The sequence below is a fragment of the Homo sapiens genome, chromosome 1 (genome assembly GCF_000001405.40).
Source record: "Homo sapiens chromosome 1, GRCh38.p14 Primary Assembly".
In the NCBI taxonomy this organism is placed as follows: Eukaryota; Metazoa; Chordata; class Mammalia; order Primates; family Hominidae; genus Homo; species Homo sapiens.
The window spans coordinates 152719352-152739564 of NC_000001.11; the positions used below are offsets into that span (position 1 = coordinate 152719352).

The 20213-nt window shown below is 42.5% G+C and overlaps 1 protein-coding gene and 1 pseudogene across 1 annotated transcript; both read left to right on the forward strand.

Moving 5' to 3' along the window:
* Positions 1–170: 170 nt before the first annotated feature.
* Positions 171–1119, forward strand: KPLCE (KPRP N-terminal and LCE C-terminal like protein). Its single transcript, NM_001024679.3, has one exon. It carries the CDS (start codon positions 171–173, stop codon positions 921–923), a length of 753 nt encoding a protein of 250 aa, NP_001019850.1. The 3' UTR covers positions 924–1119.
* Positions 18167–18517, forward strand: LCEP2 (late cornified envelope pseudogene 2; annotated as a pseudogene).

Consider the following 20213-nt stretch of genomic DNA (forward strand, 5'->3'; position numbering starts at 1 on the left):
TCCACCTCCTGCCAAGTATACAGCCTCTGGATGTCTGCAACCTTCTCAAGAAAGCCTTGCTTGCAAATCACTGTATTCAAAGGGGATGTTGAAGGTTTCCCCTAGAAACCTTCCTGGTTTTACAGTTCTAATGAAACCTTTCTTTTCAGATTTTGCAAAGCCACAGAACAATGTGTGACCAGCAGAAGCAGCCACAGTTCCCTCCATCTTGTGTGAAAGGTTCGGGACTAGGGGCTGGGCAGGGTAGCAATGGTGCCTCTGTGAAATGCCCAGTTCCATGCCAGACCCAAACTGTCTGTGTGACAGGCCCTGCTCCATGCCCTACTCAAACTTATGTGAAGTACCAAGTTCCATGCCAGACTCAAACCTACGTGAAGTGCCCAGCTCCCTGCCAGAGGACCTATGTGAAATACCCAACACCCTGCCAAACCTATGTGAAGTGCCCAGCTCCCTGCCAGACAACCTATGTAAAATGCCCAACTCCCTGCCAAACCTACGTGAAGTGCCCAGCTCCCTGCCAGATGACCTACATCAAAAGTCCAGCTCCCTGCCAGACCCAGACGTGCTATGTCCAGGGTGCTTCTCCTTGCCAGAGCTATTATGTTCAAGCTCCTGCAAGTGGCTCAACCTCCCAGTACTGTGTCACTGACCCATGCTCTGCTCCCTGTTCCACCAGCTACTGCTGTCTGGCTCCCCGGACCTTCGGGGTGAGTCCCCTGAGACGCTGGATTCAGCGGCCCCAGAACTGCAACACAGGATCATCTGGCTGCTGTGAGAATTCGGGAAGCTCTGGATGCTGTGGTTCTGGGGGCTGTGGCTGCAGCTGTGGATGTGGCAGCTCTGGGTGCTGCTGTTTGGGAATTATCCCCATGAGGTCCCGAGGTCCTGCATGCTGTGACCATGAGGATGACTGCTGCTGCTAAACATACGACAGCTCAACTCCAGAATGCACTGCCCCGCTACCCCTTCTGGAACATGCACCAGCTTCTGGCCCCCTCTCTGTTAGTGCCAGTGATGTAGAACCTCATCACTTTGCCTCTGTGCTTTGCTTCTCTACCAAGGCAGCCTGCCAGAGTTAGTACAGTCCCCAAACTTTGGCATGAATAAAGCTCTGAATGCATTTCGTGGTAATTTCTGTCTGTTTGTTTGGTCCATATTTATGCTTTTCTATCAGGCACTCTTCTGCATCCCTCTCTTCTTACTCTTGTTTCTCAGCTAGAGGAAAGATCTGCACGAACATGAACAAGCAGACTGAGCTGGTGAAATCCCAGCCTGGGAGCCCCATGCCTTCTAGAATGCTGTGAATAAACTTTCCCACGCAAGTTAGAAGCATCTGAAAATGGAGATTTGAGGGTTGGGGCTGTTTCTGTGCTGCCCTTTGATGAGCCTCAGAGCAGGGTTGACCATGATGAGACCCTCATCTTCCTGGGTGTTGGAGAGATTGTGAAATTGTATCTGCTCATGGACCAGTATCACTGGTCATGGTCAGTATCACTGGACCATGTCTCCACCACTGTGCAGAGGGCTTGAACCCATGCAGGACTTTATGAATTACATTTTCTCATCTGACAGGCTTGCCCTGTTGAAACTATAGGTTGAAGGCCTGAGGGAAAAGGCTAGGAGCCCCCTGAAGTGGGTAGGTATTCACCAGGTCAGTCCTGGTAGTAAGTGAGCCATCTCCAAAGGAAGGTGAATCTTGTGCGAGGGGCTTCTGGGCCCCCTTCTGGGCCCCTCACCCTAGTTAGCTTTTTCTTCTCCATTGCTTAGCTAGCTCTAGAGAATTTGGGGTGGACTTTTGTAACTAAAGATTCCAAATACACACATTAAAAAAATAGAGGAGTAACAAGTGTTCAAAACAATCCCACAAGGTCTGGTGCATAGGAGACAATGTTTGGTGATGTATAAATGAACGCATAAAGGAATGAATGAAAAAGGGAATCATGTGTTTGTTTCTAACCCTGGACACTAGCAGAAGATCATCTTGACTACTCTGCTGCCTTTGAATGTCTAAACACCTGTATCTCCACAAACAGCACAATATCCCTTCATCCAAACTCCCTAAACTTACAGCCCAGTCACTGGAAACCCACTCAGGGAAGGAACTGCCTTGGCCAGGGCCACACTTTCCTCTTGTACCACCAACTGGGTCCTGCAATGTTGGAGGATGGGGTGCTAAAGTTCCCTGTGGTCTAGTCTCTTTAGAGAATGGTATCTGCAAAGCCCAACTCAGCACTGAAAATATTGTAGGGAATCCTCTTTAAAACCCAATGCAAACTTCTAAAAATCCTATTTCTATCCTTTTCAATTCCTTCATATTCCATAGCTGTTCATCAGTCTCTCACTAAACTACCCCAAATGCTCCTAATATCCAGACATTGTGGCTTCTTTCATCTCTTTCTCTCCTTGCTCACTCTCCTTTCCTCCTCAATCCCACCTGGTTCTGGTCCTGGTTATGTAGATGGTTTGAGTTTTTCTGTCTCCCTTGTTAATTTTCTCTATACTTACCCAATCTTAGTATTCTCTGCTCCATAGGAATTAACCTAGGAATAAAACCTCTCCTCTTTTCTCCAGCTGTTCTAATGCTTTCTCTAACCCACTCTATTGGTTTTGTACAAGAGAGAGGAAAGTAGTTGAAACCAAGAGCTAACCTGACGAAGCTCACCAAACTCAACCTGCCTTGCTTGCTTTTAGTCACTTACTTCTAGTTAATCTTAAAACCCATGTAGCTAAAAGTCACACAGCTAAGCAATCTGCTAGCTTCCTTTTAGAGAACATCCCTGACATATAAGTTACCATGCTGATGGTTCCTTGTTGTTTTTTTAAGAACTTGGTGTTGGCTGTTTTCTAGTTCAAGCTGAAACCACCGACCCTTCAACTGGGCCTGCAAGAATACCTGAGAGGTGACCTTTTGATGTCAGAGGGTCAAAAGCTCCTCCCTCAGAGCATGCTAATACCACCATTTTCTGAACATGCTTCTTATGAAGAGCAATGAAGCTTGACTATGCAAGTGCAAATAGCCACTTGCCTCACTGTTCCTTGCCTCCAACTGCCTTTCCCCAGGCCCTGAACTACCTTGCTCTTCTATCCCATAAATGTCTCTGAAACCATATCTTGGAAAGGTGGATTTGAGATCCGTTGGCTGCCGTGGCTTACAGTGCACAGGCAGCACACATCTAGTTCAGTATCAGAATTATAAAGCTCAAAGGGCAAAAATATAATTTTCTTTAATAGAGCATATGAGTGGAAGAAAAAGTCAAGGAGCAAAAACCTACACATTAATATATCTCAATTGATTGCATATCTTAGACTTTTCTGTTTTATTATATAGGATCATAATACATGTTGCCCTATGACTAGCTGTTTTCATTTAATACGTCAATGTTGAACATAAATTTTGGTTAGTGCATATAGTCATATCTTCTTTCCTTTTGTTGTTTGGTTTTTAATATTTCCTTAGTGTGGCTGCTCAACGATTTATCTAACCACCCCCTTAGACTGCCCTTTTTGATTTCTCTTTTTCTCTTCTCTTTTTCTCCCTGTCTCTGTTTGCCTCTTATTATTACCATACAAGTTGCTGTTAAGGCCTTTTTCAAATGTTTTCAAATTTTCTATTTAGATGAAACACACTTCTAGAAAAGTATACAAATTAGAAGTGTATTACTCACTAAACACACGTGTATAACCACCATCTGGACCCCAGAAAGCTAATGTCATATTGAAAACTAATAAAGTCCCTGATTACCATGAACTAGGAGACTGAATTTGGAGATATGAAATGGATTAGAGCAGAAGTAGCTTTATATAATCCCAAACCTTCTCAGGAGCCCTGATTGTGTGTTAGGTAGATATGTACAAAAGACAATGTAAAGAGAAGCATCCGCCCTGGGGTCTAGGTCCTTCAGACATCCAGGTGAGTTCTGAGAGCATCTACCAGTGACCCCACCACACAGCAGTGTGACCTTGCTCTTACACAGAGCAGAGGACACTGAGCAGCCTGATACCAGTGCTTGAGAAACCCTCAGTAACCTGGCCAGTGTGAAGGTTCTATAACAACTTTCTTGTCAGATTATAATTCATTTATCTAATATATAGTTATTGAACTTCTATGTCATTCCGGGCACCATCTCTATTGTTTTGGAGTTTATAGCAGAGAGGGAGAATTTTAAAAAAGCAAGTAATTCAATAAACAAATGTAAGCTGCATCTAGGACTAGAGTTATAAAGAAAGTGTTTCAAATATCTGTAATATGCACATTTTACATGGTCAGGAAGATCAGAAAAGACTTCCCTGAGAAAGTGTAGCTTGACCCCAAGGTTGAGTAGGAGTTAATAACAGAACAGTGACGGAAGACTTTTCCATGCAGAAGCAAGAGCACAGGCAGGGCTCTGTTGGGGGGAGGGGGAGGGGCGGAGAACAAAAAGTGTAAGGGGCTGGTGGTGAGACAGTGAGAATTAAAGCAGAAAGGGGCAGAAGGGCCTGGGGGCTAAGGGCAACCTCGGTGTGGGGCATCCCAGCAGTCATTGACAGGTTGCAAGCAGGCCATGTGACTTGTGCCTTTTAAAGTTTAATTTTCTCTGCAGAAAAAAAATAGATATACTTGTAGAGCATATAAAGGAGAATCTAAAACAATTGCCCAATAGCATTAGTGTACCTGGTTCTCTCCTAGCCCTGCCATGCATAACTCCCCTCTTTGGGTCTGGTTTTCATGTCTGTAAGATGGCAGCTTGGGCCATAAGACGAGTAGGGTGCATTTCAGCACCAGCATCAGGTGATCTTTGCCTCCTGGTACAGGGACTTCAGGGTCTCATTTTAAAACTGGTGAGTTACAAATGTGGCCTTCAGAATATTCAGTTTCAAGACATTTTTTGTTTAACCAAAAGTTCTACTATATTCTGTTTTTTTATAACTTAAAAAATTTTGGTCCACTGTTTCTAATGTAAGATAATCCAAATTTCCTGGCTCTTTTTTTTTTTTTTGAGATGGAGTCTTGCTCTGTCGCCCATCCTGGAGTGCAGTGGCGCGATCTCGGCTCACTGCAAGCTCTACCTCCCAGGTTCACGCCAGTCTCCTGCTTCAGCCTCCTGAGTAGCTGGGACTACAGGCGCCCACCACCACGCCCGACTAATTTTTTGTATTTTTAGCAGAGACGGGGTTTCATCGTGTTAGCCAGGATGGTCTCGATCTCCTGACCTCGCGATCCGCCGGCCTCGGCCTCCCAAAGTGCTGGGATTACAGGCATGAACCACCGCGCCCGGCCAATTTCCTGGCTCTTAATACCTTTACAATATTTATTGGAGATTTGACTATAAATGATTTAGAGAGAATGGCAAGTCCAAAACATGGAATGAAACCCCGGGGAAACTGGACAGAGATTCCTTGAACAGGCCGAGATGCTGCTATCCTGGGATCTCTTATGAATCTGCTTTCCCATAATTTTTCTGGAGTAGAAAAGTCTACTGAGTAGAATCCCAACCCCACTTGCCTGGGTAAGATAGTTTTTATGATGATTTCTCTTGCAGGAAAATACTTCTGCCAAATTTCCCGACAAGTAAGGCTAATACCTGCAGAGAGACTTTGTAATATTTCTCAAAATTAAGAAATAAAATATAGTCATGTACATCTAAATTTTATATCTTACACGTATTTATTATTTTTATTATTATATATTTTTAAGATTTAGTTTTTTTATTATACTTTAAGTTCTAGGGTACATGTGCACAACGTGCAGGTTTGTTACACATGTATGCATGTGCCATGTTAGTGTGCTGCATCCATTAACTCGTCATTTACATTAGGTATATCTCCTAATGCTATCCCACCACCCTCCCCCAACCCCACGACAGGCCCCGGTGTGTGATGTTCCCTACCCTGTGTCCAATTACACGTGTATTATACATATACTGTGAAAGTACAGCCAATATTAGTAAAGACCCATAAGAAAAATGACTCAAATCTATTTATTCTTGACACCTAAAGGAAAAGACAGAGAATTGCCCTTTATTTATTGAGGGCCTACTATGTGTGCCAGGCACTGTGTTAGTCACTCTGCATGCAATGTTCTCCTTATCTGAGTAATGGGAACACTGATCTGAATTAGCTGGCAGGTTTTGGGAGAAGGCCAGTGTTGTGGTAAGATCTGGATTTTTGAGTCAGACACATGTATTTACTGACCCTATAACTCCAGACAAGTTAGTAGTCTCTCTGCTCAGAGAGATTGTGTCTGCTAAAACTGCCTAAGATAATGCCTTCCACATAGTAGGTGCACAATGTGTTAAGCCATTTTCCTATTCCTGGTTGGAGGGGCTCTGACAGTAAATATGAAAGGCATCTTAGAGGCTAAGAGGGTGACAGTCATATTATATGAAAAGTATTAAAGGGGTTTTTATGGTTTGGGATTTTTAGTTCTATAGTAAAATGTAATGAGAGAAGGTTTTCATTACAGACAAAGTTATGAAAATGTGTAACCTGATGTCACAAGTGACTGTTGTCTCCCAGCTTCTCCTACCTCCGTTCTTATCCCAATTCTGCCACAAATTTCTTTGTAACATTAAATAAGCCACTTCACCTATTTGGGCCTCAGTTTCCTCCTCTGTAAAATGGGGAAGTTGGGTGCAACCATCACTAAGAACCTTTTCTACCTCTAATACTCTGTAGCTCCCATTCTTTGAATCTTCCTCAAAGTTCAGAGAGAGTATCTCCCTAAGATACTAGAAATGGGGCAGTGGTCTTAGAGATTACCACTTGCACCCCATAATGGAGCATAAGAAGTGGGGCACGCAGATAATAGCTGCTGGATTGGAGCCAGAGCTTGAGAAAAAAAGGAAAATCTCTACCAGGTCCTCAGACAGAAGTTGGCTGGAGAAAATGTCATGATCAGATATGTTTCTTTGTCATCTGTGTAAGGATCTCCACCCAGCTGATGGCAGTTTACGGCCTGATTTAGCATGTCTGCTGTGAGAAACAAATGGGTGTTGGGGTGGGCTGGGCCACGGGAGAAGAAGAGGAGGCAGGGTAGTATGTGTGGCACCAAAGGGCTGAGAAAGGCGGGCAGTGAGTAATATTCTCAGAGATCCTCATGGCCAGCGCTCCCGCTCAGCTTACATGGACGTTCTGCTGGGAGACCTGTTTGTCTTAACCTACTAGACTGGGCACCCTGCCTCGTTTGCTTTGATGTCCCCAGAGCCAAGCACAGGATGGCACTCAATATATTCCTGTCAAATAAAGGAATAAATTTTCCCCGTGTGTGTGTTTATCCTATGGAGATTTCCTGTATTGTGTAAATCCAGTCTAATTACTCAGGGAGCATCAAAAAGGACTCATGAGCTTGGCTTCTGTGGATTTCTCAGCCTGGAAAATGTCAACTAAATACTATCTACTGTTCTTTGAGCCTGTCACAGTGCCAAGTCCTCTGACCACCCTGTCTCAGAGAGTACATGGTTCAATTCCTCACCCTACCCTGTTTTATTTTTCTTCCTAGACTGTTTTACTGCCTGATACTACATTATATATTCATTTGTTTATAGTTTTTCCTTTCCTGTTAGGATGGAAGCAACTTGAAGTCAAGGGTCCTGTGTATCTTATTTACTGTTTGTGTCCTCATGCCAAGAGCAATGTCTGGCATTAATATAACATCTAACATAAAATAGTTAATGCATATTTATTGGAGAGTGATTAATTCTCATTCATAATCCAAGAAGTAAATATAAGCTTTATCTCATTTTATAGCTAAGGATAGCCTCCTAGGGTTAACTAACTTGCCTAAAATCGCACTAATTGTTGCTCAGATTTTAACCCAATCTTACTTCAGAGCCTTAGTTCTCAAACAGTGTGTGTTTTTTCCCTCTACTTTAGAACGTAAATTCCACATAGGGAAGGTTTCTGTGCCTTCATGACATTTGAGAATCTGCTTCCTATCAAAGGAACAAAGTCTTTTATCTTCAACCTCTCTTCATTTTGTGCATCCTTTTTTTTTCCAGGTCTCCTTTTAAATACTACTAGTAATGATAACTAAAAACTACAGGGTAGGCCAGGTGAGGTGGCTCACGCCTGTAATCCCAGCACTTTTGGAGGCTGAGGCGGGCGGATCCCCTGAGGTCAGGAGTTCAAGACCAGCCTGGCCAACACGGTGAAAATCCATCTCTACTAAAAATGAAAAATTAGCCAGGTGTGGTGTTGGGCACCTGTAGTCTCAGCTACTAGGAAGGCTGAGGCAGGAGAATTGCTTGAACCCAGGAGGCAGAAGTTGCACTGAGCCGAGATCACACCACTGCCCTCCAGCCTAAGCGACAGAGCGAGACTTCGTCTCAAACAAACAAACACAAAACAAACAAAAAAACTGCAAGGTAAAATATACTTCACTTCACATGCTCTTTTTGTATTACAGAGCAATCTAAAATCCATTGTTTCATTTAAAAAGCAGCCATATGCACTGGTAAATATTTATAACTGCTCCATTATAATAGGTGAGGAAACAGAGGTTCAGTGAATTGATCCAGGTGACTAGTGTGTGGTGGGACAAAACCCAGAACAGGAGTTTTGTACACTGATCCCATTCTTGTGTCTGCGACAGCTGGTGCCCCTTGGTTCCACTGCGTCCCTCTCTTTTCCTCATCCTTCTCTTCCTTGTCCCCCTGGAGCCTTGTGTTCCTCCTTGCATATTGCAAAAGCTCTTCAGAATAAGCTGCTCCCTCCATGACAGACTTCCTGAAGGCATGATAGGCATCATCCCCATGATTGGAGACTTAGGTTCTGGGGATAAGCCAAGAGGGCTCTGGAAAGCCCAGGTTGAGGTGTGTGTGGCCACACATCTCAGAAGTTATCTGCCTGTTCACACACAGGACCACTCGTCACCCAGACCCTCAGAAAGGGCTTATATATTCGCTTGGTAACAGGTATTGAACTCAGTGCTGGGTGTGGGGAACACCAACATGAAGAAGGCATGGTCTCTGCCTTTGAGGAGCTCACAGTCTCCTGGCTGAACCAGCATGTCAGGTAATGAAAACAGACATTATCGAAAGAGAGGAAAGATGTTCAACATCTGCGGGAGTTCAGGACAACCTATGACAAGTCTATTAGGACATTTAAGAGATTAGAAGCTCCTCAGCCAAAGAGAGGACAGTGAGGGGTCACTGACCTGAAAATGTGCTTGTGGAAACAACTTGCCTAGGACACAAGTACCTCCCACCAGGTATGATTTGCTTTTGCTTTTGCCAGAGGCCAGAGGGTCTCCTCTTCTAGGACCACCTGTGCCAAATCCACAGCTGGGGGTGTCTGGAGCACGGCAGCAAGCCTTTGCAGTTGGTTTCTCCAGGATCAGCCTCCCCTGAGAGTGAGTCCAGCTGACTCCAGGGTGGTCTACTATTCAATTTTACACACCGTCAGGGGACTGGGCTCTGACTTCTGTCCTCATCAAGTGAGATGACCAAAAGGAAAGGCTGATTATGTTGATTTTATCTTTAGAGCAAAAGCAAATTACTCTTCCATAGTTCCTATTTTCTCTTTAGTTTTTCCCTGGTAATTCCTATTCCTAACTAGTGTGAGTGTGTGTAAATGCACACACACATGCATATAGACAGTTGCACACACACAAAAGAGCTGGTTTTACAGAAATGCTACATTAAATATATACACCAACTATGGAGTATATTTTTTAAAAAGAACATTTCCATTTCCAGCAGTTTCATCTTTCATATCATTAAGAAAGTAGGTATCAGGAAGTACTGTATCTTTAAAGATCTGAGCTACTTTCTCATGGAGATAAGAAAAAGAATCTACATATTTCCAGTGTCTATGCCCTTCTAATTATTATGCAGTTCCACATTCCTGGGCTAGTTCTGGGTCATTGGGTGTTTGATGGAGCCATCTCATGACACACCTATGAGAATATTTATTGATGTTTATCATAGATGCCCGTAAAAACCATTGAAGATTTAATATGTGTTGGACATTGGCTACATGCTTTCCCACCTTTTAACTCAATTATAATCAACATCTCCACAAAAGGCAACTGACAGGTATCTTTCCAATGCCAGCAATCCTAATGCCAATCCCTTTGTAGTATAAGATACATTGTATAAAGTTTACCCTTCTAAATTCTCAGTGTGACAGAGTGAAAAGAGCACAAGCTTTGGAGTCAAATGCCTCTAAATTATAACTTTACTTCTACCACCTACTTGTTCACTGCACTGAGACAAGATATTTTAACTTCTTTGAGTTTCAATTTCTTCACTTGTGAAAGACAAATATTGTTATCAGCCTTGTAGTGTTATTTTAAGGACTGAATGACATTAATATTTGTAGATTATCTGAGCTATTGTGGACATTATTTCAAATAATGTTTTCTTGAAAAAGTTTCAAAAATGTAGTAAATGTCACAATGTGTCTAACTTGTGCATCATTATCGTTAGCCTCTGAGTATTGTTGGAGAGTGCCATACATTAAATTCACTACAAAAATGAAAGTGAGTCAGCAGTCAGAAAAGAAGCACAGAATTCTAAGACTCAAACTATGCAGACCTATCAAGGTTCTCATTGTTACCCCAGGTCCCTAGGGTCCCAGGCTCACTAGAGAGGAGTACCCTAGAAGTGGGCACCGGCTGGGGTGGCCCTGCTGCTCTGCAGGGTGGGGGTGATGCTCTCTGTTCTCATACCCATGCTTTTCCTGCCATACCCTGGCCATTCCTTGGCCATCACCAGTCAGGACATCTGCTCTGCAGGTGCGGGCCCCGGGGTGGTGCTTCTCCTGGAGTGTATGTCTGTGTGTGTGTGTGTGTGTGTGTGTGTGTGTGTGTGTGTGTGTGTATATATATATATATATATATATATATATATATATATATATGCATATATGCTTTATGGGTGAGGTGAGCTTCACTCCACAACTTGAAGATTAAAATAGAGGCTGTGTGACAGGGGAGGGGAGAGTTGGGGGAGAGGAGCTTACTAAGGTATCTCAGACTGGGAGTTGGAGGAAGAAAGATAGAAATTAATTTACATTTCATGAAGCACAGGAACTCTTCTCATGGGAATTTCTTGGGTTTTTGTGCCTTGTATATTGTGTGTGATTTCTACAGCACTCTGATGGCTGCACATTCCTTCAGAATACAAAGGGCCAATGTACTTGATTATGAAAAATAGTTGTCTTTAGTGAATCAGCCTTCTTTCCTAAAGCCAAATTTTGAAGAAAGGCCCTATGATTTCAATGTGTTCCCAAAAAGTTTGTGTATTGGAAACTTAATCCCTAATGCAACAGTGTTGAGTGGTAGGGCCTAATAAGAGGAACTTGGGTCATGAGGGCTTATGAATGGCAGAGCCCTCATGAATGGATTATGTTGTTATCATGGGAGTGGGTTGATTATCTCGAGAGTGGGTTGTTATAAAGTGAATCTCGACCAGGCGTGGTGGCTCACACCTGTAATTCCAGCACATTGAAAGGCTGATGTGGGAGGATTGTTTGAGACCTGTCCGGGCAACATAGTGAAACCTCTTCTGTACAAAACATTTAAAAATATTAGCCAGGTGTGGTGATGCACACCTGTGGTCCTAGCTACTTGGGAGATTGAGGCAGGAGGATCACTTGAGTCCAGCGTATTAGGGCTGCAGTGAGCTGTGATTATGCCACTGCACTCCAGCCTGGGTGACAGAGCAAGACCCTGTCTCAAAATGAAAATCAAGCTGGTCCAGCCCCTAGTGACTCTGTCTCATGTGCACTCTTCTGCCTTCCATCTTCCACCATGGGATGACCCTTGTCAGATGCTGATGTTGTGCTCTTGGACTTCCCAGCCTCTAAAAATAAGAGCCAAAGAAACTTCTGTTCTTTATAAATCACAAAGTCTAAGATATTCAGTTATAGTAGCAGAAAATGAACTAATAAGAAAAACTTCAGGAAAAGAGTCAGGGTGGTAATGTTGTTTTACGGTTTTGGAGTTAGAATGTCTGGGTTTAAGTCACTAGTCCACTAATAACTCTCAAACTTTGGGCAAGTTATTTAACTTCTTTTTGCCTCAGTCTTCACATGTCCCCAGTCTGAATAATAGGCTGGATGCAGTGGTTTATGCCTGTAATCCTAGCACTTTGGGATGCTGAGATTGGAGGATCACTTGAGCCCAGGAGTTCGAGATCAGCCTGGGCATCATAGTGAGATCCCATCTCTGCAAAATATACAAAAATTAGCTGGGCATGGTGATGCACACCTGTTGTCCCAGCTACTTGGGAGGCTAATACAGGAGGACTTCTTGAGTTCAGGAGTCAGGGGTTGCAACAAGCTATAATTATGCCACTGCACTCCTGCCTGGGCAACAGAGTGAGACCCCCCATCTCAGCAAACAAACAAACAAACAAGCAAGCAAACAAAGCTGATGATAATAATTATTATCACTATTTAGTATATAGGTTTCTGTAGAGACTAGATGAGATGTGGTACATAAAATCATTATAGAGGCTCTAGTGCACAGTAGATATTCCATAGATATTATCTTTAATTATTACTGACAAAACTGAGGAAAAGAATGATCAGGCCTTTGGAACAAAATGCTAAGAGTCCCTTCAATCCAGTCGTCCAATGTGGATAAAGAATTGGAGAAGAGCTCAGAAGTAACTGAGTACCTACCTTTGCCCTCAACCTATTTATCTCTCTATTCACCTCTCTCTCAGACCCAGCTTCTCTGCAAAGCAGGTATGAATAGAGCTGTGTTCTTTCCTATTATAAGTCAATTCTTAGACTTGCTGCCTACCCTAACAGGTCAGAAAGTGTTGCATATTTCCTGGAAAGTGTGTGGCCATGAATGAAGAGATCTATGGAAAAGGACTCTGTATTCTTTATTTCTAGGTGGAAATATCTGACCATATCTCCTCAGTAAGGACAAACCTCTATCTTCCTCTGGAACAAGGACAAAGTAAAAATGTTGCCCTGTGCCCTTCCCTAATTCCCCTGAGTCCTTATGTCCATGCCCTAATACAAATCTGTATGCCTGCAGGTATCTTGAAAAGAGAGCAAGGTGAGGAGAATTCTCAACCCTTCTTTAGGACATACTCAAAATCTTTTTTTTTTTTTTTTTTTTTTTGAGATGGAGTCTTGTTCTGTCACCCAGGCTGGAGTGCAGTGGAGTGATCTCCGCTCACTGCAAGCTCCGCCTCCCGGGTTCATGCCATTCTCCTGCCTCAACCTCCGGAGTAGCTGGGACTACAGGCATCCGCCACCACGCCGGGCTAATTTTTTTATGTTTTTAGTAGACATGGGGTTTCACCGCGTTAGCCAGGATGGTCTCGATCTCCTGACCTCGTGATCCGCCCGCCTCGGCCTCCCAAGGTGCTGGGATTACAGGCGTGAGCCACCGCACCCGGCCTTTTTTTTTTTTTAGATGGAGTTTCACTCTTGTCACCCAGCAGGCTGGAAGTCTTGAGTGCAATGGCGCTATCTTGGGTCACTGGACCTCTGTCTCCTGGGTTCAAGTGATTCTCTTGACTCAGCCTCCCAAGTAGCTGGGATTACAGGCATGTGCCACCACGCCCGGCTAATTTTGTATTTTTAGTAGAGACGGGGTTTCTCCATGTTGGTCAGCCTGGTCTCGAACTCTTAACCTCAGGTGATCTGCCTGCCTCCACCTCCCAAAGTGCTGAGATTACAGGCATGAGCTCAAAATCTTAAGAGTAAGTTGGGCTTCACTATGTAAAAGAAAACCAAATTCATTTATTATAACTAGAAGATTTTTATCATAGTTAACTTTTAAAATCACTCTTTTAGATAAACTATTCTACTTTTAACTGTGAGGTTGGCAAATACATAGTTTAGGAAGAAGGTAGTTCTTAGTATTATAAGAAATAATGGGGAATACTCAGGTGAAAATAGATTTATTTGACTCAGTCATTGTCAATGGTTGTGTCCACTGAATTAAGATCATGCAACCACCACTGGTATCAATCTTATTGTAATATTCAGTAGTTATAATTCTGCTAAAAACAACTTTTAATTTTTTCAGCCCATAAGAAAAACTTTATTTTCTGAAATTCTGCAACATTTAGAATCATTGATTCAATTACAGAGTAATATGTGGTCCTTTAGTTCTATGTTAAGTGCAAGGAGATGTATATCTCTTTCTGAATTACCTTAAACAACCATCTCTTCTTCATTGTTCTTAAATTATTATTTCTCCAGTTATGGAGAAGTTTTTCCTGCCAGAATCCTCTTATTTTGCACCTCTCTGTGTCTCATTCTTGCACACTGCAGCTATCAGTGTAGAGCTCTACATCTCTACATTCACTTGTTTATTTTCATTGCTAAGATTCTATCTCGAGTCACACCTTAATTTTGTAGAGAATAGTGGAGTACTTGTCTGTTTGGTCTTCTAGATGGTAAACTTTGTAAGTACATCTTTGAAGATAAATAAGTGTGGTTTCCAAGTCTCTCTGAATCTTCCATATTACCTGCTGCAATACTTTGCACATTAAATATGTTTAATAAGTGACATAGAATGAGACACACCTAACCCTCATTTTTTTTTCCATATGTACCTTCATAAATATTCACATATGGCCTTTGTTGAGTTCAATAAGAAAAACAGAACAAAATCAACAGTTCTAATTGTATCAGGTAATATCATTTCTTTGTGACAAAGGAGCCTTACTAGGCACAATAATGCCTATTAAAATACCAAAGCAGGTGAAAGAATAATAATCAGTAGAGTAGTAAGAATAGTAGCCATAGAAGTTGGTACCACCTTTTGAGTTCTAGCTACCTGCATGGTCCTGTACTCGTGCTTTATAGGTAATATTTCACTTCATGCTTACAAATGAGCAGAACTATGATCACTATTTTGAAGACAATGAAACTGTACCCTAACCGTAACTTGCTTAAGTTTGCACAACTTTCTCAAGAAGCAGGAATGCCAACTTAAGTCTCACTGTCTCACGGACCCCAAAACTATTCTTTTATATGAATACTCTGAAATACCTCCCATTTGTTTTAGTCACCTTCCTCTTTTCTTTTCTCTCTCTCTCTCTTTTCTTTTTTTTTTTTTTTTTTGAGATGGAGTCTTGCTCTGTCACCCAGGCTAGAGTGCAGTGGCATGATCTCAGCTCACTGCAACCTCTGCCTCCTGGGTTCAAGCCGTTATCCTGCTTCTTCCTCCCTAACAGCTGGGATTACAGGCACCTGCCACCATGCCCAGCTAATTTTTGTATCTTTAGTAGAGACAGGGTTTCACCATGTTGGCCAGGCTGGTCTCGAACTCCTGACCTCGTGATCTGTCCACCTCAGCCTCCTAAACTGCTGGGATTACAGGCGTGAGACACTGTGCCCTGTTCCCTCTTTTCTTTCAACCTTCTGTGTCTCTAATGTCAGCTCAAGCTTCTCTTGACCAGAGGTATAATTAGGGTCAGTATCATCATCACTTTTCATCAATTGTCATTGGCTTTTAAGTAGCTCTTTCTTTAAAACCCCCTGCCCTTAAAATTAGAGCTTTTTATTTAAAAATTCAATAATTTTTCTTAAAAACCAATCTCTCTGAACTGCTGTAGTTCTTTAAGTCAACATCACACATCATATGGACAATTTGCCATTGTGACCTTACTTCTACATATAGAAATTGTGATTTCTCCATCTTTAAAAAATTCATTGTTTATCTATCTCTTAAACTCTTTGAAATAGTGATCTCTGCTTATCTCTCCTGTTTCTTTCCAAAATTATTATAAGGCAGTTTTAGCCCTCACTATGAAACTACTGTTTCCAATGTCGCTGTGGATTCTGTCTCCCTAGCATTTGATAATATAAGATAATGTCCTTTATTGAAATTTCTTTTCCCTTTTTTTTTCAAAATACCATGATTTTCTCTTTATTTTTCCAGCTATGTGCCTCAACTTTCTTTCTTAGACTCCTTAATTTTTACATCTCCTTTGCCTACCCACTAAAAGTTGGAATACCCCTAAGGTTCTGTGCCTGGTTCTATCTCTTTTTTGTCTTTTTTTTTTCTCTCAGCATGCATACTCTTTTTTAGTAACCTTCTCCACTTGTGTGTCTTTAGTGGTTACTTAATTACCAAGGAGGCAATCCAGTTTGTGTTAGGTGACACTCTCCTCTATCTGCCTATTATATTGAGCCCTGGCAAAAACCTATTACAGGATCGCTTTGTTCTATTAAAAAAAAAAAAAGTTAAGGAGCTCCTTAACTACAATAGGAGCTCCTTAAGTTAGTGCTAACTCCTTATTCACAGTAATTTAACCCTGTGTTTACTAACTAGTAGGTGCAATCAATGTCAACTTAAATCCACTTATGTCTTATTTTATTTCCCTTCTCTGTAAGGTATCTACCTATAGACATGCTCAATAATGCAATTATTCTAATTCTCAAGCACTTTCAGCCTTTACCTTCAACCCCCAATAAAAAGTCTGTTAGAACTTCCAAGTTCAACATAATATCTGTCTGTATTCTAACTTATTCACATTTCAAACCCCCTCCCTCCTCTGATGGCAACACCAGCCCTGCATGTGCCCACTGCCCTCTAGGGGCCATTAGGCTCCCCAAAGCCTTTACTTCCATGCTCACGTGGATTCTTCTAGGTCCACCTTCTGCCAACCTGGTCTCATTTCCACAGAGCTATGCTCTGAAATAACTTATTTCTCAGGAATTAGTATTCTGTATTAGTGAAATAACACTATACCTTCCTGGGAATCTATCTTCATACAAGAGATTCTAAGAGCCAAGAGGCTGCACCATTATGGCCTGAGTATATGCCTCAGTGCTTTCTAAACATCTGCCTTCCTCTTTCCTGCTGTTTAATCTTTTTCCTATGTTTATTGTTCCAGATACTGTACAAAGCACATGGGATATGGAGGCTAACAAAACATGCCGTACTTTCATACTGTTCATAGATTAGACAGACATGTACAAAGACTGTAAAACCACCTTGGGGAAATGCTGTATGAAACCTGAACAAGAGTTCAAGATCACATGGTACAAAAACTTACAAATCATTGTTTACACATTTGTACTGTGGGACCATAACATCCTCAGAGCAATCTACATCATCTGTGTCATTGATATCTGGCAAAATTATGGGCCCAAGATAGATTATATATATTTATTGGAATAATGAATGAGTGACTGTATGAAGGTGGAACGGCTGGCTTGCAGCAGATCTATGGAGCGTGTATGGAGTAGTCTCTAGCCTGTGGGATTCCTCTTGGCTCCTGTCCAGGGAAATCCTGGAGCCCTGGGGCTGGAAGTGTGTGTGAGAAGAGTTCAACCTCCTCTAAGGCAATGAAAGTGATTGTTCTGCATACACAGGATGTGCCTCACTCCCAGGGAGACACCAATCCCAGGATAAAAGGCCTCCAGTGCCAGGGTCCTCAGTCCTTAGCCTTGTTAGTGACAGCCCTTGCTCCTCCACTAACCAGGTCAGTGCTTTGCAAAGAAGGCTCTGGATGGTGATTCATGGGTGCCAGACAGAACTGCATGGAGAGAGGGCAGAAAAAGGCAGGCAGAGAAGAAGAAGTCACTTGGGTTTGGAGGGACAAGTGTGAGAATTCTTCAACCTGCAGTTGACCTAGGTCTGGGCTTGTTTTTATGTATCCTTGTTAGTGACAACCTCCCTCCACTTCTCTTGGTTTGCTAAATATATGCCAGAAGCAGACCATGGGGCTGTGAATGTCTAACTTAGGGAAGGAGAGTAACAAGAAGAAATGCCTCATGAGCAGTGGGGTAGAGGAAGAGGAGAAGGAACAAAGCAAGAGTAGTCACAGGAATTGAGGGGCTCAGGTTTACGCCTCTGATCTCTTTCCTTCTACTCCTCTTCCAATAAATGTTCTCAGAGACACCCATCTGACCTGCAGAAGAATGACTGATCCATTAAAGGATTGTTTCTAAACATATGGCCAGCTGTGTTTCCAAATTAGGAAGCCTTCTATGGGGTTGATTTTGGAGCTCATGTAGAAAGATGGTCAGCATTTTTCACTGGGGGAAAAAAAAAGAAAGAAACACAAGGTGGAAAGCTTTTCTTGCACTCAAGTTCATTTCATATCAGTTTCCAAATTCAATTTATGGATCATCTTCACAAAATATCTTGTTTGGGAGTGAGGATTCAATGAAATTCATTGTCTACAACATACATATCTGCCTGACATTTGTGCTAATGGCTTATGAAATTTCTCCTTAGGTTTCCTGACTTCCTCTCTAAATGTCCTGCCAGCAGAGCCAACAGCAGTGCCAGCCTCCTCCCAAGTGTATCCCCAAATGCCCTCCCAAGTGTACTCCTAAGTTTCCTCCCAAGTGTCCCCCAAAATGTCCCCCTAAGTGCCCAGCCCCATGCCCACCTCCAGTCCGTTCCTGCTGCAGTGTTAGCTCCAGGGGCTGCTGTGTTTCAAGCTCTGGGGGCTGTTGCAGCTCTGTGGGTGGTGGCTGCTGCTTGAGCCACCACAAGCCCCACTGGCCCCTTTGACTCTGACCTCAGAGCTCTAACTGCTGTGGCAGTGGCAGCGGCCAGCTGTCTGGGGGCTCTGGCTGCTGCCACAGCTCTGGGGGCTCCTGCTGCTGCTCTGTGGGCTGCTGCTGACCTGGGCCATGAAGACCTCATACAAGCAGTACTGGAGGAAATAAGATGTGGAAGACCTACCCAGCCCTGCTGCTGCTCTTCCCTCCTTTTCTTGTCTTCCTTGTCCTGGACTCTGAGATGCTGAAATCTTCACGAGGAAGGTTCTAAATATTACTCCAGATGGGCAGGCTCACTCTTCTTCAACATAATAAATTCTTCCCTACTAAGCCTCACCAGCATCTTGCTGCATCCCCCCATAGGTCAATGTTAGCTATATGGGGCCCAGCCCTGTCCTGGCTGGGGACAGAAAGCTGGCTCAAGAGTGCGGGTCATGTGGCCAGTCTCCCTTCACAGGGTGTGGTAGAAAACCCTGGGTTGACCTTTCCCGCATTCAGAGAGATTCAGTTTGGCTTTCTAGTTGCCGGTTGGGGTGACCATCCTCTTCTGGGTGCCTGTGCATTTTCTCTGGTGTTATATCGATTATTCTGCTATACTTTTCTCATTATAACAACTATGATAATATTTCTAACAGCTGATATGAAGTGAAAAATTTAGAACTGCTAGCACTCCTCAAAATAGTAAAATCTGGGGACAAGCCAAATGCCTCCTACATGAAAGGTACATGGTTCATTATTAGATATTCACTCAGTGTGCTGAGATTCTAAATTCAAAATGAATGAACTAAATCAACACAAAACAATGTATGAGTAAATGAAAAAATAAATTCCAAAAAGATTATCTACAACATAATAGCCTATTCATAAATTTCAAAACAGCAAAGCATATTCTTTTAGGCTTGGTATATATATGGTTACAAATAAACTGTATGAAAAGAAAAGGTATGGATGAAACCTTGTTTTAGAATCACCCATACTTTGGGTAGAGAGCAGCAGGAGGTGGGAGGGGGAGCTGGGCCATGTGGTTGGAGGTAGGTTATTGTCAAGATCCTGGCTTTCATTTTGGTGGATTTCTGTTCTTTGTATATTGTTAAAATTTTCAAATGAATGAGTGAATCCATATATTGGTAGATCAACCAACTTAACAATTAAGGAGATCATGCCTGGAGCAGTGATAACCATGTGTCCTGGTCCAAATATTTTTATTTCTCCAATACTATACATCTAAGGTCTTATTTTTCTTCAAACAGTGTGTCATATGCATTAACATACAAAGTCTTCTTTGCTAATTCTCACCACTCTCTAAAATATATTATTTTGATCCTCTATTGATTTTATAGATTAGGTAACTGAGATTCAGAAGTTAAATAATTTCCCCAAGTTCACACAGTAAGAGCAAGACTAGGTCCCTGTCAGCGTCTGAGTCTTTCACCACCTGCCCCGTGTCTTCTCTTTTCCCTCTTTCTCCTGGGCAATCTCTTCTACTCCCTGGCAACAGTTAACATCACCATGATGATGGCCAAGGAGCCCCTTCTCAGAGAGGCCTCAGTGACCATTGAAATTAAAATAGCCCTGTGTCACTCTCAGTCACTTCACTCGGCTTTATCACTGACAAACAGTCTTTTATTTATTTACTTTTCCTTTGTTCAGCTCTCTCCACTTTAACATAAACTTCATGAAATGAGGGACCTTGCTCTCCTCTTGCCAGCTGCTGTTTTTTCCAGTACCTAGAATGGGCTTACTGTGGATTCTCAAGAACTATTTTTTGCCTGAGTGACTTCCAAGTCAACGTATGA

Coding starts and splice junctions, on each gene's coding strand:
- KPLCE (NM_001024679.3), top strand. CDS start 171: ATGTGTGACCAGCAGAAGCAGCCACAGTTCCCTCCATCTTGTGTGAAA.